The sequence below is a fragment of the Homo sapiens genome, chromosome 3 (assembly GCF_000001405.40).
Source record: "Homo sapiens chromosome 3, GRCh38.p14 Primary Assembly".
Classification (NCBI taxonomy): Eukaryota; Metazoa; Chordata; class Mammalia; order Primates; family Hominidae; genus Homo; species Homo sapiens.
In genome coordinates, this window is record NC_000003.12 from 124,841,091 (window position 1) to 124,864,544 (window position 23,454).

At 43.9% G+C, this 23,454-nt stretch overlaps 1 protein-coding gene and 1 pseudogene across 10 annotated transcripts in view, besides 4 other annotated features; both read right to left on the bottom strand.

Annotated features, from left to right (window-relative positions):
• Positions 1–23,454, bottom strand: part of ITGB5 (integrin subunit beta 5) — a 139,471-nt gene that overhangs the window by 79,143 nt on the left and 36,874 nt on the right. For all 10 annotated transcript variants that reach the window (NM_001354766.2, NM_001354764.2, NM_001354765.1 and 7 more), the window contains exons 3-5: positions 18,152–18,356; positions 7,219–7,468; positions 293–461 (exon numbers count right to left, since the gene is read on the bottom strand). In NM_001354766.2, coding sequence (NP_001341695.1) covers positions 293–461; positions 7,219–7,468; positions 18,152–18,188 — 456 coding nt within the window. In that variant the 5' untranslated portion in view covers positions 18,189–18,356. The remainder of the gene's footprint in view (positions 1–292; positions 462–7,218; positions 7,469–18,151; positions 18,357–23,454) is intronic.
• Positions 1,212–1,713: an enhancer, noted in NCBI's record as "H3K27ac hESC enhancer chr3:124561149-124561650 (GRCh37/hg19 assembly coordinates)". NCBI's record gives its function as "activates a minimal SCP1, AML or CMV promoter by ChIP-STARR-seq in primed H9 embryonic stem cells {active_cell/tissue: H9 hESC(primed)}" and the evidence as "EXISTENCE:reporter gene assay evidence [ECO:0000049][PMID:30033119]".
• Positions 1,714–2,213: an enhancer, noted in NCBI's record as "H3K27ac hESC enhancer chr3:124561651-124562150 (GRCh37/hg19 assembly coordinates)". NCBI's record gives its function as "activates a minimal SCP1, AML or CMV promoter by ChIP-STARR-seq in naive and primed H9 embryonic stem cells {active_cell/tissue: H9 hESC(naive and primed)}" and the evidence as "EXISTENCE:reporter gene assay evidence [ECO:0000049][PMID:30033119]".
• Positions 4,222–4,721: an enhancer, noted in NCBI's record as "H3K4me1 hESC enhancer chr3:124564159-124564658 (GRCh37/hg19 assembly coordinates)". NCBI's record gives its function as "activates a minimal SCP1, AML or CMV promoter by ChIP-STARR-seq in naive H9 embryonic stem cells {active_cell/tissue: H9 hESC(naive)}" and the evidence as "EXISTENCE:reporter gene assay evidence [ECO:0000049][PMID:30033119]".
• Positions 17,718–18,255: an enhancer, noted in NCBI's record as "H3K27ac-H3K4me1 hESC enhancer chr3:124577655-124578192 (GRCh37/hg19 assembly coordinates)". NCBI's record gives its function as "activates a minimal SCP1, AML or CMV promoter by ChIP-STARR-seq in primed H9 embryonic stem cells {active_cell/tissue: H9 hESC(primed)}" and the evidence as "EXISTENCE:reporter gene assay evidence [ECO:0000049][PMID:30033119]".
• Positions 21,007–22,226, bottom strand: ENO1P3 (enolase 1 pseudogene 3; annotated as a pseudogene).

A 23,454-nucleotide genomic window follows, 5' to 3' on the forward strand; every position in this document is an offset into this window, starting at 1 on the left:
ACCAAAAAGCCAATGTATAAATGCAGACAGCTGTCTTCTAGCAGACAGTACTCCATTGCACACAACCACACCCTGACACAGAGACACAGACCAGCCCAATCCATTCCCGAGCTCCGGCTGATTTGACTGCTGTAGATTTCCCAGAAGTTCCACTGAGCTCACCCTCTGACTTCAGAGTGGTCAGGAGCCACATGCTGGGGCACTCAAAGACTCCTGCAGGAAGTACCAACACCCACTGACGCTCTCTACCTTGACCTCCCCATGCAGGGACAGGACCAGAAAGGAAAGTTACCTTGCAGACGGCTGCCTGGAGTACTGCATCAAAGCCCCCCTCAGGGGCATCTCGGTTCCGGGACACCCTCTGTTTCCGAACTTCCTCATTGAAGCTGTCCACTCTGTCTGTGAGAGGCAGCAGATGGCGGAACCCAAAGGAGGGGACGCAATTTGGAAACAACTTGTAACTAGAGAGGAAGAAGAGAAGAGTCACTTTTCCATCATTGTCTGTAAATCTTAACCAAGTGTTCTGAGCATTCACTGAGTGCCTTGAGAGGCACCAATAACTATTTACCCAGCACCTACCACATGCCCCAGGACAGGCACAGCAGAGAGAGCAAAGATAAATAACATAGTTCCTGTTCTCCAAACATCAGCCCTAAACTGCAGGCAAGGCAGTATATGCCAAGTTATAAATGAATGGTATGGACAAATTGTTCAAAGGAAACAGAGATAATAGTAGGCTACTGTGGTTGGAGGAAGACTTGACATAGGCATTGAAAGGTATGTGGGACCCGGGGTGTGGGCCAGCCTAGGCAGAGTGGAGAGGAAGTGTCCTCTGGGCTAAGGAACATGGATGATGCCCAGTGAGGGCAATGTAAGTGCAGTTACTCCATGCAACCAGCTTCTACATCAATGTTGCTGCCACGCAACAAAGGATCACAGGATCACATAATCTTGTCATGTCAATCCACTCAGTGACCAGGATGTGCAGGCACATGGACAAATGCTGAATGGAACAGGAATGAAAACATCTTATCTGCTTCTTCATTCGTTTCTAAATATTGTACCAACAAACTATCAATTCTGCTAAATGCAATAAAAATTATTTAGAAACTAAGCATCTTCAAATGGAAAGTTATGTCTGGAAATTACAAAAGAAGGAAGTATTACACATCAATAATAGGTTAATACCAAGCCTTTCTCCTGAAATATGGGGTGATCTCCTTTTCAGTCTCCTGTGGAGACTCCAAGTGGCCCTATTCCTGAAGGGAGTTACTTTCCATTACAGCTCTAAGAGTTTCAGCTTGATCTAGAACTAATAAAGTTGGAAGAGAGAGCTTATATTGTTTTACCAATGGGTTCACAAAGTAAAGGGAAGAGGGGAGAGTGTCCCAGCCAGAGAAGAGCATGTGCAAGAGTCCTGTGGCAGAAGGGAGCACAGAGCCCAAGGACAGAGGGAGGTCGGGGGGCTGTGGTGCAGAGTAACGGGTGAGGATGGGCGAGGAGGAGCCTGGGAGGCAGGCTGGGCCAGACTGTGCAGGGTCTCCAGCCATGTTAAGGAAGTCGCTCTTTCAGGATAAATGATGGAAAACGAGCACTAACAGGCCTGAGGGAAAGGCTTTATAATCTAATTCAAGCTGCATACATGGGAAAGAAAACAGCCTTAGCAACAGCTAGGAGGACCCTGCCTTAAATGCTGTCAAAAAGCAGACTCACCAGGGCAGGTCTGGGCAGGCTCCCTTCTGTAAAGGGGCAATCTTTGGTTCTCTAAGGGGCTATTCCATTCCCTCTCAGGGCTACAGTCCCTTCTCCATCCACACAGTCACAACAGCACAGCACAGAGTCCCCAGCAACAGGCCCACCCTGCACAGAATCAATCAGCCCCACTCCTGTGATAGTCGCGCTCTCCCTCTCGGGGCCGGCGGCAGCGATGGGATCTCCCTGCCTGGCTTTCCTTTGTGTTTCTCCCTTCTCCTTTCCCGAAGTCTTCATGAACACCTTGTACTTGGACAGGTGGAACTCTCTTTTAACCTCAGCCTCGGGCCACCCAAACTTTCCATTACCTCCTCATTTTGTCATGAAAAGAACAATCATGGAAATTACATTCCCAGCTGGAAGAAGGAACTGAGGTCCCATCTGTAGCTATTTGGCAAGTGGATCATAGGCCCAGAAGGAAGTAAGTCTATCCAAACTCTCCCCCTCTCTCTTCCTCCAAGATCCTGCCCTGGCCTATGTGGCTCTGGCCCATGATTTAGGACTTCAGGTGTGTGGTTTTTTTACACTTGGTCCGGTTGGTTGCGGACAGGGAGAAAAGAAACTGAATAATGATTGCTGTTTAACCAGGAAAGCTGTGACAAACTCAGCTACAGCTCAGCATGTTTTACCTCCTCCCTTTCACTCCCGCAAACAGCAATGAGCAGATACATTTTTACTGCAAAGAATGACTGTTAAGTAGTTAGGAATTAGAAGATGTGTTTGCCAGAGAGAAGCCTTCATTGTAGAGAATTTACTATAACCAAGTCAGAGTCACTTAGGAAAAGAGCTTTGTCACACAGACGCTAGGAGAGTCTCCACTGACACTGGAATAGGATGTCACCTGTGATGAGTTATCTGACTTAACCCCAGAGCAGCTGTCTGAGTGGCCTGAAGATCCGGACGTTCTGGGGTCATGCCAGGAGACTATCCTACCCCTCTCATGTGTCTGTGCTGTGAGACCCCAAATAAGCGCCATGCATACAGAGTTACTAAATTAAGGATTATTAACAAGGGAGATAAAAAATAAAATATATATGGTTAAAGAGCCAAGGGAGTGTCTGTATGTATAAAAAGTGAATCCAATTTGAAGACACCAGACCTAGGCAAATCCAGAAAACAATCTAATGCCTCAGGAGAATATCATGGATCAAGCTGACATGGAAAGGCTCTCCATGTCATGGAACAGGAATGAAAACATCTTATCTGCTTCTTCTAACTCTAAACATATACAACTGCTGGATAAAATGTAATTTAAAATTTTTTAATATATAGCCTAGGCTGGAAGCTTAGAAAGTAAATCCCAGAAACGAAGAGGAAACCATTCAATAAATGAATGGACCTTTCAGAAGTATTTGGTTTTGGCAAAAAAAAAAAAAAAAAAAAAAAAAAAGAAAACACCAAAAAACAAATGAATGGACTTAAAAGAATAGGTGGGGGCTGGGTGCAGTGGCTCACGCCTGTAATCTCAGCACTTTAGGAGGCTGAGGCAGGCAGATCACCTGAGGTCAGGAGTTCAAGACCAGCCTGGCCAACGTGGTGAAACGCCATCTCTACTAAAAATACAAAAATTAGCTGGGCATGGTGGTGGGCACCTGTAATCCCAGCTACTCAGGAGGCTGAGTCAGGATAATCACTTGAACCCAGGAGGTGGAGGTTGCAGTGAGCTGAGATCCCGCCACTGCACTCCAGCCTGAGTAACAGAGCAAGACTCGGTCTCAAAAAAAAAAGGTAGGAAATGGGCAGGCACTCATGCCAAGGACCCCCGCAATGGGTCAGGCCTTGACTGAGGCCCTACAGGCTTGGAGCAGGGTCTACCAGGAATAGATGCTGAGCCTCAGTCCTGCAGAGGGCTGAACACTGGAATAGGGCTGTCTGCATAAAGCCGAACAGCACAATGAGCTGCTGTGCTACTAAAACCAGAAACAGAAAAACTCCAGCTACTGGTCTAGGAAAGCAGCACGGAAGCTGACCATCTACCATGAATGAGATGAATTACCCATAAAAACTGTAACTCCAGGCCTGAGCAATTGGAATACACTGCTTTTATGGTGAAGACATCTCCATTTGAAAAATTAACAGAAAAACTAGTCCCACGGTGAACCTGGAGATTCTCGACAACGGCAAACATAAAACTGCTCTGCAGGGATGCCCCCACAACCTCCAAGGAAGAGCTAATGAAAAGCTTATAAATTGCATGAAAAACAATTCATGAAGGCATGTCAGCAGGTCCAATACACTGACTGGCTGTGGATCCACCTGAAGGATCCACAATTCAAGAAACAGAAACAGAATAATTTAAAATACTTTAGGCTGGGCGTGGTGGCCCACCCCTGTAATCTCAGCACTTTGGGAAGCTGAGGTGGGTGGATCACCTGAGGTCAGGAGCTCAAGACCAGCCTGGCCAACATGGTGAAACCCCATCTCTACTAAAAAATACAAAAATTAGCTGGGTGTGGTGGCACGTGCCTGTAATACCAGCTACTCAGGAGGCTGAGGCAGGAGAATCACTTGAACCCAGGAGACACAGGATGCCGTGCTGCCTGGACGTGGGGAGACAAAGCTCGGCCTGCTCACCAAGCCACAGTGTGCCCCCACGCTGCGTGTGCCTCCCCAGCTCAGAGAAGAGAGCTTCACATAACTCAGGCCCGAGGTTTCCTTCCACATTCTCATTCTTCACTGGACTTCCTGCCTTACAAGTAGCTTTTCAGTGTGCCTTGTACTCACTGTCAGGAGTTTTACTGTCTGCAACAGGCTCTGCCTTAGAGGACTTAGAGAGTGAGCTCTGAATAAGTAATGATGTGTCATAACTTTGAATATTTAAATGCTGAGCGCCTAGAGCCAGCCCTTGATTCTCTGCCAGCTTCCAATCTAGTGTCTCGGTCAGTGGAAGGGCCTTGGAAGAATGAAAGTGGGGACACACCCTATCTGTCTGGAGACAGGGCCCAATTAGGACAGAGGTGAAAAGAAGCAAATAAAATCACTATTTCAGATGAATTGAAAAAAGGCTTAAGGCTTGCAGTTAAGATGCTGTTGCTCCTGGTAAGCAGCAAAATTTCAACAAAAACATTTGACACCCAGACTTAGCTGAAAAGGGCCTTGGAGACAGAATCAAAGTAGTAATAGTCCCTGTGGCCACCTGTCGCCAGGAGGAAGCTAAACCCAGCAAATGATGATGCCTAGTGCCTCTTCGTGGTTAAAGAATTTAGAGTTCATTTGTATTTAAAACTTTTTCTTGTCTGTTTTTCCACCAGTGTCAGTTCCCAATACCTGAAAAGATCTAAGTCAGCTTCTGGGAGAGTATACAGAAGGATCTGGAGGGATTCAGAAGAGCCTATGCCACCAGCACACTAACTTGCTCCTATCACCCAGCCCAACTTGGAGCTAGGAGCTCTGAAGGCTACCAAAGAGGACTTGTGGAGAGGGGAGGGCTCAGGGATTTAAGAACAGCTCTCTCCCCTTGGTGGCAGCTGGAAGACCAAGAATTGAGAATGGCATCACAAGATGGAAGGAGCTGGATCCCTGAGTTACTGCATGGAGAGCTGCCAAGGAAAGCAGCTCAGCCCTCATCAGATGTTGCACAAGCAAAAAAAAAAAAAACCAACAAAAAAAAAACGTTCATTGTGTTGAGCCACTGAGATTTGGAGACTCTACGTTACTGCAGCATAACCTACCATGATCCTCAGGTAAGCCCCTAGGACATGGGGGTAGGGTGGTTTAGGGACAGGTATTATTACTCAGCCTAAGGTAAAGTGTCTGTGTTGTAGTGTGATTTGAATGGGGAAGAAGACATTATATTAAACGCAAACGCAGGCCGGATGCAGTGGCTCATGCCTGTAATCCCAGCACTTTGGGAGGCTGAGGTGGATGGGTCGCTTGACGTCAGGAGTTCAAGACCAGCCTGGCCAACATGGTGAAACCCCATCTCTACTAAAAATACAAAAATCAGCCAGGTGTGGTGGCAGGCACCTATAATCTCAGCTACTCAGGAGACTGGGGCAGGAGAATCGGCTTGAACCCGGGAGGCGGAGGTTGCAGGGAGCCGAGATTGCACCACTGCACTCCAGCCTGGGCAACAGAGCAAGACTCCGTCTCAAAAAAAAATGCAAATGCAGACTCTAAAAGTAGTTTGTCTGTATTCATATTCCAGCTCTACCCCTTGCTGTTTGTATAATATTGGGTAAGTTATTCTCTCTAGGCCTCAGTTTCTGCATCTCTAAAATCTGGCTTACACTTACCTTAGAGACCTCAACAGATTGTTATGAGATTTAAATGAGATAATCCACAGAAAATATTTAGTATGGGGCTTGACACTTAGTAAAAACTTAAGTCTTAGTTATTTCCTATCTCATGACTAGTTTTGGACCTTACAACACAAACCCTCACTAAAGTTAAATGTGGAGATGAGGAAAGCAAGAGTTGGAAGTTACCACTCACTGCAGTCACTTGCATAATCTTGACATTTAAAGAAACTCCTGAAAGACTAAAAAGAAAAGAAACCAACCTAGTAGAGGTTGTGTTGCATGGGCTGAAGAATGCAATCCCCTCATACAACCACCCACCCCAGCATGCATACAAACGTCCCATGGCAGAGACCTGCTCACTAATCCTATTTCTTCTGATTCCTGGGCCTACAGCTACACTAGTTCCCAGCCTCCTGGCTCAGTCCTGTTCCGTCTAATAGCATGTGGGAGCGGGCATGGCAAAGGCCTATCCTCCTATGCATGACCCTCTAGGCAGCATGACCTTAGGAGCCATGTGTGGAAGATGGTAAAGCCTGGAAGATGGAAAGCACCTGAGTCCCTGAGTCACTGCTTGCAGGAGAAGTTCCATGGATGAAGAGACCCAGTTGGACTTGAGGAGCAGGAAATAAACTTCCAGCAAGTTTGAGCCATTATACACTTTGTTATTATAGAATCTGGCAGCAGTTAGAGACACCTGTTTTCTAATAATATGTCAAATCTTTTCTAGTTCAGGTGTTTATGTTGAAAAAAAAATTCTTACATTTAAAATAGGATTTTAATCTAATTATGTGAAAATAAGTTATAGTTATTTATAGAAAAACAACAGGGACAAATTTTGAATTCATTTCTCCCAAAGCACCTCAGTTACTACAAGCAAGGGGAAAGTTTAAGTTGCCCTGCCTGCTGCCTCCCTGATAATCTGGATCCATCACTCCCTGAGGACATTTTCTGAATTCTATTAATGTGAGCAAATGGTGCTGTGCATGGCAGGCAGGAAAATCAAGGGGTTGTGATCATTTTATCTTTACAACCTTGTGACAGTTCACTCACTTCTTCACACGTCAGGAAAGGAGAGAATGTATGCTTATCATTAATCAAATTAAACGCCTAAGCCTGGCCACCCCTCCTAACCATGCCTTCCTTAATTCTTTCTTTGAGCTAAATTTTCCTGCTTCTCCATTCTCCCACCCTTAAGTACCCAACAGAAGGGCAACTGGTCACTTACCCAATGCACGGATTGGTCTGGTACCTCGGTGCCGTGTAGGAGAAAGGAGAGATGTCCTTATCAACAAAAGACCCAAATCCCAACCGGAAGTTGCTGGTGAGCTTCCTCATCTCCTCCGCGAGTTTGGTGCCCAGGCTCCGGATATTGTCCAAGTCATCCTTCATGGACAGGGAGAGGTCCATCAGGTAGTACAGGTCCACAGGATAGTCCTCCACCTGGCGAACCTGTAGCTGGAAGGTGGTCTTGTCACCTGCACCAACAGAGAGGCCACGTGTGTTAGAGGTTGTGCAACCTGCTGAGGGCTGAGGGATGGGATTTGCTTTCAAAGCTAGTTTGCCTCTTACTTTTCTTTAGTGATTGTGTGCCTCACAGAAGATTTTTCTTGGAAGTAAAGTGCCTGAAGGGAATACGGTGCTGAGAATGGAGGCCTGGGTTCTCCTTCCTAAACATTCGGCTTAGCACTTCTTTTTTTATTTTATTTTATTTTTTTTGAGACAGTGTTGCTCTGTCGCCCAGGCTGGAGTGCAGTGGTGCGATCTTGGCTCACTGCAACCTCTGCCTACCAGGTTCAAGCGATTCTCATGCCTCAGCCTCCTGAGTAGCTGGGATTACAGGTGCCCACCACCATGCCTGGCTAATTTTTGCATTTTTAGTAGAGACGGGGTTTCACTATGTTGACCAGGCTGGTATCCAACTCCTGGCCTCAAGTGATCCACCTACCTCAGCCTCCCAAAGTGCTGGGATTACAGGTGTGAGCCACCACGCCTGGCCTGGGCTTAGCATTTCTAAGGAAACTCCTTAACAACCAGGCTCCTTGGTAGTGTTCTGTCTTCTCAGCAACAAAGACCCTTGAGTAATCAGTGGACAGTGAACCAGACAATTTCATGAACACAAACTGGGTGGAGAGTAGCCCACCAACCACATACCAACTCCAGAGAAAGACCCAGTCACGATGGGAATGTGCGTTTGAAACAAAAAGCAGGGAAGAAATGAACAAAAGAGGGGTGTGGGCCTGAGTGGGGAAGAACCAAGTTGGGGAGAGAGATGTGCAAGGCAAGGGAGGGCAGAGAAACAAAGATCGTTGTTTAAAATACCCCAATGGGCAAAAATATGCATGCTTATGCCACATCACCTGTGTTTGTTTCTATTTCTCTCGCCATTTACCAGACTAGTATTTATTTGGGGGGCATATTTGATGTTTTGGGACATCACAGGCACAACTCATTATCATTGGAAACTACATATATAAATACAGGAAGACAGATTCCAAATTTTAGCTCTATCGAAAAAAGAAAACAAGAAGAAAGAGAAAAGACAGCACTAGATTTGTCTACCAGCTACAATAAGATAGCCAACAGGCAGAGAAAAGGGGAATTAATTCAGAGGAAAAGAACAAAGAGAAAAGCTAGTGTCTGGCAGGTGTGGCCTTTTCTGTCTCACCCTATAGAGTTCAAAGAGAGGCTCAAGTCAGGGCAATAACTGGAAGACCCAGGCCACGATAATGATCTTGAAATCATTTCATAATTTCTAAAAACAAATCACTTAGAACCAACTTTAAGGCTCAACTCATACCAGATCATTCTATCTGCCTTGGGCTTATTAACCTTTCAGGAGTGCCAAGAGATGCCCTATTTATCCTGCAGTAGAACTGTCTACACATACTTGAAATTTGGATAGATTCTTTGTGTGTGTAGAGGCACAACAGCAAAGGTGGCCTCACTCCTGCCCAGCGGGTCTACACCTGACTTGCCGGCAGCCACATCTCAGAGCAACCAGTCTTTCATCTCAAGCTGACAACTAGCAAGCTGAAGCCTTCTTTAACTTGCAGGGAACTCAATCCTCTATGCTTCCTCTCCTCCTCCCACCGTGACAACAAGGCATATTTCACTAACTAGATCACGAAGAATCCAATGATCAAAAGATTTTAGTTCAAGTTCCAGCTCTGTCCCTTGAATAGGAGTGCAACCTGGGCCACGGTTTCTTGAAATATAAAATGGAAGTAACAATGCTCACAGCATCAATTAAGCCTATGATGCGCTCATGAGGGAGAGCAGTGTTTTATGAGCAGTACAGGCTTGCACGGATGAAGTATGATTATGATCATTACTGCTTGCAGTCAGAGTGGCAGCTCTGAGCCTGCTTCCCCTGACTTGTCTTTGCGTGTACTGTTCTAGGCGCCTCAGGATTGATGGAGTTTGAGTTGCCTATTGGTATAAGCCTATTTTTTAAAACCATGGGGTGGGGGGAGGGGGGAGGGATAGCATTGGGAGATATACCTAATGCTAGATGACGAGTTAGTGGGTGCAGCGCACCAGCATGGCACATGTATACATATGTAACTAACCCGCACATTGTGCCCATGTACCCTAAAATTAAAGTATAATAATAATAATTTAAAAAAACAAAAAAAAAAACCATCAGAGTCTGACTCAAACAGAGGAATGTTCAAGGTTTTCTTCCAGAATGAATTCCAGGCTGCTGCAGTGTCTGCCTTTGGTCAGACAGACACAGCTTGTCCCGCCAGAGGGCTCCTTGGGTGCCACATCACAGTGAGGGAGGGGCAGGGAAGAGGGGGGAGTTGGGGGAAGGGAGCTCCCTCCTTGGCCCTTGCATGGGCAGACAACAGACCCCAAATGGACAGAGCCTGCAATCCTATTTCCTCTGCCTGATGCCATGATCTTTTCACAGGTCTTCTGCATTTTCTGCCACCTGTCCCCCCAAGTTCCCACCTACAACTTATTTTATCCAAAATCTACTTCTACTTTTTTACGAATTATAAGAAATTAACAGATGGGCACTTTAAAACCAGGAAACAAATAATTGGCTTGGATTCCGGGAGGCTGAGAGGCATCTATGGGATAGAGGCTTGGAAGCAGGAAAGCTGGGTTTGAATCCAGACCCTGTCACCAAGGACTAGGGAGAACTCAGGCTCTCTTCAACTCACTGCTCGGTTTCTGCATCAGTCAAGTGGGGAGGATATTAACTATTATAGGGATTAAAAGAGATAAACACCACACAAATGTTCCTACACAAAGAAAACTTTGGCCTCGGTTTTCCCAAAAGTCAATTACTGAAGCAATTTCCTGTGAGGATAAAAAGAGAGACAGAAAATCCTGCCAGCAACTTGAATTTCAACAGCTACAGCCTTGGGCATACAAATTTAACCCTAAATTTTCCAGACATGAGGGCTGAGGGAAAGAAGGCATGATATATAGGTCCCTTTGTATCCTAAGAGGCTATCTATTCTGAAGCAAGAAACTTCTTGGCATTACATTCTAAGAGAAATTGATCAGTAAGAAAACACACACACACACACACACACACACACACACACGCACACATCCCTTCCCAAAGGAAGGCTGCAGTTGTTAAAAAGAAATAGTGTGCCATTTTTCCAGAAAGAGAGGGATGTAAGAAAGATGGTAACACCACTGATGTTCAGAATGAGGGTTTATTGCTGCCTCTAATATACTTGATTTTAAATGCCACAGACTCCTGAATAGGCCGTGGCAATGACAGAATGTTCTGTCAGCAGATCCTGGAGGGACTGACATTCCTGGTCAGATCCATGGTGTGGGCATTAAGCTTCCAGTGTACCAACAACTCCCCAAAAAGGGAGGCCTCTAACGTTAACAGCCTGAAGGTGAAGCCATTAATGCATGTGAAGTGCACTTTCTGCTGAGAGAAGGTCTTGGGTATGTTTTCCAACTTTGGGTACACTTCCAGAACCATGCACGCTTAAGCACTCTCCTCCCTTCCAACTCCTTCCCGGCCACGCTGCTTTCCTTTAAAAACACCCGAGACTTTAAGCCAATCGCCACCTCCCGCTGCCCGGCAGAGTGGGAAGCGCTTCTCGCCTTTAATTTGCCTGTCTTGGTCTGTGCCCGTCTCTGGTGACACCATCCCGGCCCATGTGTCAGGATTCATCCTTCTCTGCTCCTTCCCTCTCCACTTAGGGTCTCTACAGGCTCATGTATCCCTGTAGCTATATCCCTTCTCTCTGGGGCTGTTCCACGTAATTCCTGCCAGCCTCAGGACCAGGGGCAGGACCAGAGAAATGGCAAACTCAAAACAGAAGCTGATCACCTGGCACCTGTGAAATGCTACCCCAGGCAGCCCCCCTCATGTCCTTCTGCTTGTTCCTGGTTCCAGAGTAGCCAGCTCCAACTGCATTTTGCACAGAATTTCTGCACTGCTCAGTTTGTAAGTACAGGTTCTTCCACTGTAATCGGGTATCAACTAGCATTCTATCTGAAATGTATTTTTAAAGCTTTCTTCTCTTTGCCTTCCCTTTAATAAAAAGTGAAAAGTTGGCATTTTCCTTAGGGATATATATCAAATGACAAACACTTCTAGAGAATGAGTTGAGAATTCCAGCAAAAACTTTTTTGTTTTTTGAGACACGGTCTTGTTCTGTCACCCAGGCTAGAGTACAGTGGCACAACCACAGCTCACTGCAGCCTCAACCTCCCAGGCTCAAGCAATCCTCCCACCTCAGCCTCCCAAGTAGCTGGGACTATAAGCATGTGCCATCATGCCTGGCTAATTTTAAAATTATTAGTAGAGACAAAGTCCTGCCATGTTGCCCAGGCTGGCCTCAAACTCCTGAGCTCAAGTGATCCTCCCCTTCAGCCTCCCAAAGTGCTGGGATTATAGGTGTGAGCCACATGCCCAGCCTCAAAAACTTTTTTTAATTTTTATTTATTTTTTCTTCTTTCTTCTTTTCCCTCAGGTTTCCTGCCTTTGAGTCAAAAACTCTTAAGACTGATTTTGTTCAAAGTGTTAAGACAAAGTAGTACCTCAGCAAATAAAGACCTTTGCCATCCCAAAATAAATGCAAATGGTTTTTGATTCCCTAGAAGTACTATTCTGTGCTGGAAACTGAAAGAAAGAAGGGAAACATAAAAATCAACTCTATTATAACAGGACTACAACTGAACAGAAAATTAAGGCCCTGGTGCACACATTATAAATGAGCAGACAGCTCTTCCAGTCACTACAGCAGAAGGCACTTAGTATCCCAGGATTAAATCCAGATCTAGAACCAAATTATTGCCTCACTGGTTTAGAACAAGGATGCCAGGCTGTACTGCACCCCCTCTCCACCTCAGAATTGTGACTGTTGACCTATGGAACCAAGGAACAAGTCACCTGAAGACACAGTTGTCCTCCACAGTGTCTGCCTCCAAGCCCAGGGCTCGATACTTCTGGTTTCCTTTAAAATAACCCCTTATCCAGCCATCATCAAAAGACTTTCTTCGTCTATTTAAGCTATGTACACTGTCACCCAGGGTGGCAACTTTATTGCAGAAGCAATACCTAAAAACTGGTTCTTCCAAGTAGAACCTGGAAGGAGAAGGGAGGAAAAAAATAGGGGCTGGCAGGAAACCCAAAAGCAACCAATTACCTGTAGTTTAGTTAATAGTATTGTAACCATGTTGGTTTCCTGGTTTTGAGAATGTACTTTTGTTATATTAAGATGCTATCATTGAGGACAGCGGAGAAGGGTACATAGAACATCTCTGTGTTACTTTTGCAACTTCTTGTGAGTCTAAAATTATTTCAAAATGTAAGAAAGCTACCAATCAAGGGTCATTTTTTAAGAGGTTAAAGGACTGAGGCCAATAATGACTTTAATAAACTATTCTTAATTGCTCAGTGTTTCAAAACCACCTTTAGCTTTTGACGGTTCTCAATAAGCTTTACTTTCAAGTTTATGTCCTTTCTTAAGGATTTTATGCTCTTTGTTAATGATTTTTTCTAAGGTTCTTATCCTGACATGTAGTTTCCAGTACTGAAATAAAATGGAAAACATGATCCTATATTTACACAAAATCCTGCTTGAAGCTTGGCAGTCCTTCAAAAAGTTAAACATAGAATTACCATATGACCCAGCAATTCCACTCCTAGCTATAGACCCAAGATTATTGAAAACATATGTCCCCACAATAGTGTGTACATGAACGTTCATAGCAGCATTAGTCATAATTGCCCCAAAGTATAGGGTGTTAACTGTGGAGTTATTAAAAGAAAAAAGAATTGTCCCAAAGTAGAAACAGCCCAAATGTCCATAAACTAAAATATAGTATATCTATACCTCCACAATGGAATATTATTTGGCCATAAAAAGGAATGAAGTACATGCTACAACATGGATGAACCTTGAAACATGTTGCTAAGTGAAAGAAACCAGCTAAAAGACCCACACATTTTATGACGTATAGGAAATGTCCAGAATATGCAAAACTATATAGAGAGAAAGTAGACGAGTGGATACCAGCGGCTGAAAGGGGAGGGTGGGAGACGGTAGTTTAAGCAGTAACTGTTCACGGGTATGGGACTTCTTTTTGGAAAATGTTCTGGAATCAGACAGTGGTGTTGACTGTACAACCTTGCAAATATACTAAGAACCACTGAATTGTACACCTTAAGTTAGTGAATTTTATGGTCTGTGAATTATATCTCAATTTAAAAAAATAAAAAATGTCCTGCTTAAAGTAGACAGAAATTCTTTTTAATTTTTATTTCCTTCCTGAGACTTACCTTGGAACAATTACTTTGCCTTCATGAAGTGTCTTTCATATTATGCTGAGGCTTGTCCTTGATTAGTCTGCGATAAGTCTGGCAAAGTCTTATATTTCACTCAACGAATAACTATTATGAGGCATGGGGGGTAGGGCAAGGAAGAAGACACAAAAGCATTTCTAAAAATATACAATGGAGGCCCAGCGCAGTGGCTCACACCTGTAATCCCAGTACTTTGGGAGGCCGAGGTGGGCAGATGACTTGAGCCCAGGAGTTCGAGACCAGCTTGGCCAACATGGTGAAACCCCGTCTCTACTAAAAATACAAAAATTAGCCAGGTGTGGTGGTGTGTGCCTGCAGTCCTAGCTACTCAGAAGGCTAAGGCATAAGAATCGCTTGAACCTGGAGGCTGCAGTTAGCTGAAATCACGTCACTGCACTCCAGCCTGGGCGACAGAGCGAGACTCTGTCTCTCTCTACATATATATAGATAGATATATGAAAAACCAACCCCTATATACCTGAAAGCCCTCCCTAGAGTCAGGGGGGAGATACCCTGAGGCAAATATGCATTTTGCATGACTGAAAATTTTGCTAACTGCCACATACCATTTTTCTCTCCCCACAAATTCTTCAGGTTTGCCTGTACTTCTCTTTGTAAATGTTAAAATTATATTTTCAAAATTTTAAGAGGCATCATTGGTTTCAAGTGTTTCTACATTTGGGAAACATATTCACAATGCTTGTAGGTCTTAGGAACTCGTATTTTCATCAGATCTCTTCCTAGTCTTCATCTCTTCAGACTGAACCCTCTTCATAGTCTGGGTGTGTTTTCAGGAGGCAGTCAGCTCCTCCAACTGCTTGACACCACCAGCACTGGGCTCTCCACCACGACACCTTCCGCAAGACAGAGCTACACAGCATCCACACTGTGGTTTTGTATCAACATAGGATCACGGTTTCCATTTTATTTCTAATACCAGAAATCATATCATAATGCTTAGCAGGAGATGTAACTATACCAAATAAGAATGATTTTCTTCCTTAACTGAGCATATATTGAGTTTTATGCATAAATACGGATTGTATGCAAACCTGCCGTTACTCAAATCACTTATTTTTTATTTTGGGTTCTTGTTGTTGTTGTTGTTTTTGTTTTTTAGAGTCTCATCTTCATCTAGACTGGAGCCTCAAACTCCTGGGTTCAAGGGATCCTTCCACCTCAGTCTCCCCCATAGCAACGGGGTCTCACTATGTTGCCCAGGCTGGTCTCAGATTTCTGACCTCAATCGATCCTCTCTCCTTGGCCTCCCAAACCACTGAGATTACAGGCATAAGCCACCACACCCGGCCTTCTCTAACTCTCTAACTCTTCTACAGGAACTGCTGTAAAAGCCAGTTGATAGTCAAACCAGACAACCATCTCTGCTCACACTCACACCTTAATTCTCATTTTAAAAACTGGAATTATTAAAGTGTGGACATCTTTGGATTTGTGTGATGCAACTCTTGTCTAAGTTAAGTCTATCCTGAAGAAGAGAGACTTGCCACCATAAAGGATACTTCTTGGAGAGAACACCACAGGCTTTGAGAGCTATTCTAGATGAGGAGTTCAGAAAATGTAAATTAAAACCTTCCTCCACAATGGCTCTGAAACTACAAACTCTTTTGGAGGTGTGAATTTTTTTCCTAATTTTCAAAGATTATTGAATGAAAATAGCACGATTATACATACATTATGATAAGTATATGAAAAATACAAAAAGGTGAATAATACAGAGGACATAGTAAAAATGAAAAATAATTTTATGTTAAAGTGGATTATTTTTCTAGAATTTCATGTGTTATTGCTATACTGTTACTATGATAAAAAAGAAAATACACTATTCTTATACAACACGATGTTCCAACATATTAAGGGTCTATAACAACTCCTATATCCCTTTCGGTCCAAACCCTGGACCCTGAGTCTGTCTTCACATAAGAGATTTCTCTTTCCCCAGAGGACATTACCAACCATCTGCCCACATAAGTGCTCAGCTGACTTTTTTCTACCCACTCACACAGCTCTGTAAGAGTTCCCTTCCTTTTCTCTCTCAATTCAGTATCTCACTAAACAAAAAGGCTGAGTGTTGCTTACAGTGAGAAGGTTTGCAAAAATCCTAACTTCAATTAATCTCAACACTGATTCCTGGGCAGGCAACCCAATAGTTTAAGCTTCTCTATCCAGCAGGGCCAACTTACACTCTTCTTTTGTTTCTTATTTTCAAGACAATTAAAATAGACAAAATAAAACATTTCTCAACTATATGATGACTTGGAGCTTTCTTTAAAAACTCTTGGTGCAGACCATACAATGATAACCACAGCAACAACAACGAGCTTTACTGAGTGCTTACCACATGCAGCACTGTGTTAATCCATTTCCAAGGCACTGAGCATCCCTGGTCAAACCTCCATCTGGTACCCTCGGCCACTGCTCTTTGAAAATAATAAAAATTTTAACTTTGAAAAGTTCACTGATACAAAAAGTCCATTTAAGCCTCTGAACATGCCCATGAGGAACAAAGGTGACAAAGACCCTAAGATGCTGAGAGATGGAGTAACTTGCCCAGGGCCTCCAAGCTAGGGACAGAGCCAGAGCTAGAACCCAAGAGAGCCAGCCAGATCCATGATCTTTCCACTGCTACAAGCTTCCCTGGAGTCTAAATAAACCATCTACAAATAGCTACTGCCAATGGTTTCCTAGACCATGGGATAGAAGAAAACAGCAAAAAATCAGTAAAATGTGAAAAAATCTGCCCCTTCCCAATAGCGTAATACTTTCCAATTTAGCCACATGCACATCTAACCCTTTGACATTGCAAGGCTTCTAATATGCAGAATATTCAATGATAAAAGTGGTGAACTAGAAACAGCCATGGGTTTGTGGTTACCAAGACCTGGGGCTGAATCGATTCACCACTTACTGAGAGACCTTGAGCAGGTTGTTTCCTTGTGTGTAAAATGAGAGCTACCTGGCCAGGCATGGTGGTTCACGCCTGTAACCCCAGCACTTTGGGAGGCCGAGGAAGGTAGATCACCTGAGGTCAGGAGTTCAAGGCCAGCCTGGCCAACATGGTGAAACCCCATCTCTACTAAAAACACACACACAAAAAAATTAGCTGGGCGTGGTGGTACACATCCAGCTATTAGGGAGGCTGAGGCAGGAGAATCTCTTGAACCCGGGAGGTGAAGGTTGCAATGAGCCAAGACTGTGCCATTGCACTCCAGCCTGGGTGACAGAGCGATACCCCATCTCAAAAAAAAAAAAAAAAAAGATAGCTACCTTAAAGTTAGGTCAAGTGTTTAGCACATAGTAGGTGTGCAAAACTGTTTCTTTATATTACATTATAAGTAATTATATTACCGTTTCCTTATATTAAGCAACTCTAAGGCTTGCAGGGCCCCATGGTCACAAAACAAAATATCTCCACTCTAAAAGTTTGTCCTTGCAGAATGCTACAGACTCAAATGGAATTTGCTGACAGGAAAAAACACTTTTTCCTAAAAGTGGCGTGTTTCCTGAGCAACTTGCATTCACTAAGGAGTAAATCTACCAGCATCCTCCTAGAATAAACCACAGCATTATTCACAAGAGCCAAAAGTTGAAGACAACCTAAATGTTCACTGACAAATGAATAAACAAAATGTGATACACCCATACAATGAAATATTACTCAGCCAAAAAAGGAATGAAGTGCTGACACATGCCAAAATATGTGTGAAACTTGAAAACATTACACTTAGTGAAACAAGTCAAACTTCAAAGGACAAATATTGGATGATTCCACTTATGGTAGGTATCTGGACTAGTCAAGTTCAGAGTCGGAAAGTAGAGTAGGCAGCCACTACACCCTGAATGACTGTAATTTCTGCCATCAGTTGCTCCCTGATTTAAACAAAATTTAAAAACAAAAATAAATGAAAAATAAAAAATAAAGTAGAATGCTGGTTACCAGGAACCAAGGGAAAGAGAGAATGAGGAGTTAATGTTTAATGGGTATAGATTTTCTGTTTAGGACGACGAAAATGTTCCGGAAATAGATACTGCTGATGTTTATACAATATTGTGAATTTAATGCTGCTGAACTGTACACTTGAAAACGCTTAAATGGTAAATGTTATGTATATTTCACCACAATTGTTTAAAAATAGCAAAGATCTTCCTCTGTCCACAGGAGCCTGTCCACAGACACATCAATAAGAATATACTCTGCTTCCTGAGGTCTGAGCCTTGCCTCCCCATCACCATCTCGTGGCTCTGATCTCAGCCTGGCCTGACTCATTGTCCCATTATTAACAAGTCCCACCTCCCCCATGGGCCTTCCTGATCCCAGAGCATCCAGCCCTTTCTGTGGGCAACTCACCGGGCCGGAGGTTCACGGCAATCTCCTGTGGTGTCATCTGAATGACGTCCCAGCCTGCAGAGCCCGAACCCTTGCTGCTGAGGGGCAGGCTCCTCAGGACATGGAAGCTGCTGGCTGGGCTCTCTATCTCACCTCCACAGCCATTTTTGACAAGGTTTGCCCTCAGATCACACCGAGAGGTGATGGACCGTGGGCTTCCGAAGTCCTAGGCAGGGAAAAAGAGGAAGAGAGCAGGAGGTGGTCAGGGTGTCTCCCGAAAACATCGCATGTCGTGGCTGCGTCTCCATCTGGTTGACCTTAAATTCTCTACTTTCCATTTTCATTGTCTGAAAATGGAGGAAATGGTAATCCCTATCCCAGATGCTTCACCAAGTATTGTAAGGATTAACTGAGCTGCTGGACATGACAGCATTTTGTAAACTGTAAACACATAATAAAAATGTTCGGTTTTGTTGTTATTTTGATGGTTAAAATGCTCCTAACTGCCTACATGATTAGCAAGAGAAACAGAAATGATCAGAAGTTGTATAGCTAAAATTTTTTAAAAGTTGTTATATATTGCTGGGCATGGTGGCTCATGCCTGTAATCCCAGCTATTTGGGAGACTGAGGTGGGAGGATCGCTTGAGATCAAGAGTTTGAGACCAGCCTGGGCAACATAATGAGACCTCCTCTCTAAAAATAAATAAATAAGTAGATGAAATAATATATAGTTAAATAAATAAGATGACATATAAGTAGCTGAAAAGTCTTCCCTTGGGCATTCAAGAGTTAACCTTTAAGTTGTTCACTTATCATCTTTCACAGGCATTGGATGCTGGATAATCATTCAGGAGAACAATGTGGCAGTACAGGTCATATCCACTGACCCAGTGCTCTACTCCAAGAAACTTATTACAAGAAAATCATCTAAAGAGAAAGGAGAAACTCTATGTGATATATACGGCAGTATTACTTATAATATAATCTTTAAAACTTGCAAACCTAAATCCTTAAACCATAAGAATAACATAGCATATCACTTCAATAGATGACAGCCATTACAAATAATTATGGGAATTAAGAAGAAATTTAAAATATTTACACTAAGGAGGAAAAAAAAACCCAAAATATAGAATTGTATTTATTAGGATTTGAAAGAACAATTTTAAATGAGGTGTTATAGTAAAGTGACAAAAACATTTTTGTTTTTATCTTTGTTGTTTGTATGATAACGACACATTGATAAGAAAAATCTTTCTTTGGGTTTGGGAGAAAGCTGGACATCAGAACAACTCAACCTCATTTGGGACACCAGAAGGTTAAGGTATTAACTTTAAAATGAAACAATATACTTTATTATAAATCATGAAGCCTCCCTGGTCATTTCCGGCAAAGGGGTTTCACCTTTTCCCTGGTGAATGTGAAAAACAAGATTCCCCCCACTCTGGCAGGCTGGAAGCCAATGCTGTCCTATGAGTCTTTCTGGAGGAGTTAGGACACTGGTCCCTTCCTCTTCCCTCTGGAACACTTTGCCAGAAGCCTCATGTGAGTCAGCATCCCTTGACCACTTTGTTAGAAGCCAGACTGCTGGCAGAGGCACAAAAATCAGAGGAATGCACCCTCCCTCAAGGTCTCAGATGTCCTGGAACTACCCAATGCCCTTTAGAATCCTTATAAAATTCAAGATCAAGAAGTCAGCCTGGTGTGGTGGCTCACACCTGTAATCCCAGCACTTTGAGAGACTTGAGGCAGGAGGATCATTTGGGCTGGGAGTTCAACGCTGCAGTGAACTGCGATTGTGCCACTGCACTCCTGCCTGGGCGACAGAGCAAGAGCCTGTCTCAGAAAAACAAAAAACAAACACAAAAAAGAACAAGAAGTCAAGAAGACGCTGCAGTGTTTTTAAATAAGTAAAGCCAGATGTATTGTCCTAAGCCTACGGTATGTTTGTTTATATTCTGGGTTGTTTTTTTTTAATAACGATTTTTTATTTGTGCATTAAATCCCCGAGGATCTTGCCTGTCAACAACCTCCAGGACTACATCAAAGGTATAAGTGGCTCCATAAACACTTGTTGTGCAACAAGGTTAGAAAAATGAGTTTTCTAGCCAGCCATGGTGGCTCATGCCAGCATTTTAGGAGGCTGAGGCGGGAGGATCGCTCGAGCCCAGGAGCTCCGGGCTGCAGTGGGCTATGATCCATGCCACTGCACTCCAGCCTGAGCGACAGTGAGACTTTGTTAAAAAAACAAAACAAAACATATATATATATATACACACACACACACACACACACACACACACACAGAGAGATACACATATATATATTATTCTGGCCTTAGATTTTTTTTTTTTTTTTTAGACACAGTCTTGCTCTGTCACCAGACTGGAGTACAGTGGCGCAATCTCAGCTCACTGCAACCTCCGACTCCCTGGTTCAAGCAATTCTCCTGCCTCAGCCTCCCGAGTAGCTGGGATTACAGCCACGCACCACCATGCCCAGCTAATTTTTGTATTTTTAGTAGAGACGGGCTTTCACCATGTTGGCCAGGATGGCCTCGATCTCCTGACCTTATGATCTGCCCGCCTCGGCCTCCCAAAATGCTGGAATTACAGGCGTGAGCCAGTGCACCCGGCCTCTGGCCTTAGATTTAAAAGCAGAACTTTCTAAATGGGGTTCCAGGTGGTCAAGCTTGGCTCTGATATAGCAGTTCTAGTGAAGCAGTGAGAAGAAAAACACAGGGTTCTGGAAAAGGAGGGGTAACGACCTGAGGGCCCTGCCAGTTTGGGTCTGCTGTCTTGAGCTGTCTGAAGTAGATGTCTAATTAGCTTTCCAGAGCTTGAAGAGCTCAGGGGCTTGCCTGCCCAGTGCTTACTCTGCTAGAGAATTTCTGAATTTCTCACTGGCGAACTGAGCCTTGCTATCCAGCCCCTCTGCTTCTGAGGAACTGACTATACTTGGCCCAGTTCTGTTTGTCAAGGTGCACCTGTTTTGATCAGTCCAGTGCACAGCCCCACCACCAGGGTGGCAACGGAAGCATGGTCAGTTTTTTCAGAGTAATGAGAACCCCTGACACCTCTCTCACTGGTCTGGACCAGCTTACACTCTGGAATAGACTAGGGCACAGAGCCAACCTGCTTCACCTAAGCAGGAGGCAGGTGCACAATTCCTTCAGTTTGGTCAATGAGATGATCCCCCCCACTGCTGGGATACTTGCACTGGCAGTGAACTTCATCTGAGCTTCCCAACATCCTGCTCAAAGGGATTTTTGATGGATACTACCCATCATTGCAGAAGAACTTGTACAGGGCCAAATGTATCTGCTGGGACCATCAGGAGACTTAAAGTCCAAATCATATTTCCCAGACCTGAAGAACTGTGAGGCGGACAGGTCAGTGCCTATTACAACCCTAGTAGTGTCGCTGGCTTTCCCAAGTGCATGCTGTAGCAGCTCTGGGGCTTCTTTATTCTCTAGGATGTTAGGAGCAAAGCCCTCTTCATGCCCTTCACTGGTAGCAGTTTTCCCATGTTTCTCCTTAAAAACATTCTTCAGCTGAGGTTGTGATAAACCTCAGCTCCAGTGCATACGAGGCTTCCCTAAAGTTAGCTGCACCAACAACAAGAATCATGGGCTCCTGCACTGTCACCTGGTTGCCAGTGTGGAAACCACCATTAATCACATTAAAGCTGCAACTTGCAGGGTTGCACTGACTTCGGAAGCACAGACCAAGTCAGCAACATGATGGTACAAAGGGAGTCCTATTCTCAGCAACTCCAGCTTTATAGACAGCAAAGGACACACCATATGCCACGCGGACCAAAGTTAGATTTCTTCTCAGTGCCAGGCATCTCTATCATCAGTGTCAAAGTTCGCTTTCTTGCTATCTAGGTCAGGCCATATGGTTTTGTTGATGTGCTCAACAACTTTGAGGCATCTTTACCTATATATCGAGTCCTGTCATTATTTTCCCAGAGCTCTAGGGACTCAGAGCCACTAGCTGAGGCACCACGGGGCAAGGCAGGTCTGAAGAAGCTTTTGAGGGTAAGGCAGCTACCTTAACAGGGAAATTCCCCTAAGAGGTAAAGATCTCTTTTGGCACGGAGTCCAAACAATTGCTGTGACTAATTTCTTTTGATTTATTTTTGACCCGATAAGGAAAGAGTAAGCCATAACTGATTTGTAGCTATAGGTTCTTGTTGCCCAAGAAAAGGAACTGAGAGTGCTGCGGACTCAACAGAGGGAGTTAGGTCACAAGCCAAGAGCTTCGCCTCTATTCCATGTGTTCCTTTCTAAGTATTTTTATTTTCATTTTTGAGACGGAGTCTCACTCTGTCACCCAGGCTGGAGTGCAGTGGTGTAATCTCAGCTCACTGCAACCTCTGCTTCCTGGGTTCAAGTGATCCCGCCACCTTAGCCTCCGGAGTAGCTGGGATTACAAGCATGTGCTACTATGCCTGGCTAATTTTTGTATTTTTAGTAGAGACAGTGTTTTGCCATGTTGACCAGGCTGGTCTTGAACTCCTGACCTCAGATGATCGCCATGGCCGCCCAAAATGCTGGGCTTACAGGCATAAGCCACAACACCTGGCCTAGATATTTTAATTTTGAACAAGGATAGATGCATATTTAAAGAGAGAAAACCAAAATGACAGAGACCAGGGGCATATCTAGTAATGGCTATGACCTTCCAGGTATACAAACATTATAAATCTGGAAAATGTCTCTTAACCCTTAGTAGTTTAAGGTAAAAAAAGAAAAAAAAAGAAAAAAAAGAAAGAGAGAGAGAGGAGAAAGAAAGAAGAAAGAAAGAAAGAAAAGAAAAAAGAAAAAGAAAGAAAGAAAGAAAGAAAAAATGTCTCAAGACCTATATTTCTTTTTTTTTTTTTTTTTTTTTTTTTTTTTGAGATGGAGTCTTGCTCTGTCATCCAGGCTGGAGTGCAGTGACACGATCTCAGCTCACTGCAAGGTCCGCCTCCCGGTTCAAGCCATTCTCCTGCCTCAGCCTCTGGAGTAGCTGGGACTACAGGTGCCCGCCACCACGCCCAGTTAATTTTTTGTATTTTTAGTAGAGACAGGGTTTCACCGTGTTTGCTAGAATAGTCTCGATCTCCTGACCTCATGATCCACCCGCCTCAGCCTCCCAAAGTGCTGGGATTACAGGTGTGAGCCACCACATCCGGCCCCTCAATACCTATATTTCTAAGCTCCATATTCAATGAATACGGATGCCTCATATCATAAAGCCTTAGAGAAAAGGCAGACTGATGTTTAAGAAAATCCTCCTTCCTAAGCAAATTAATGCAGGAACAGAAAACCAAATA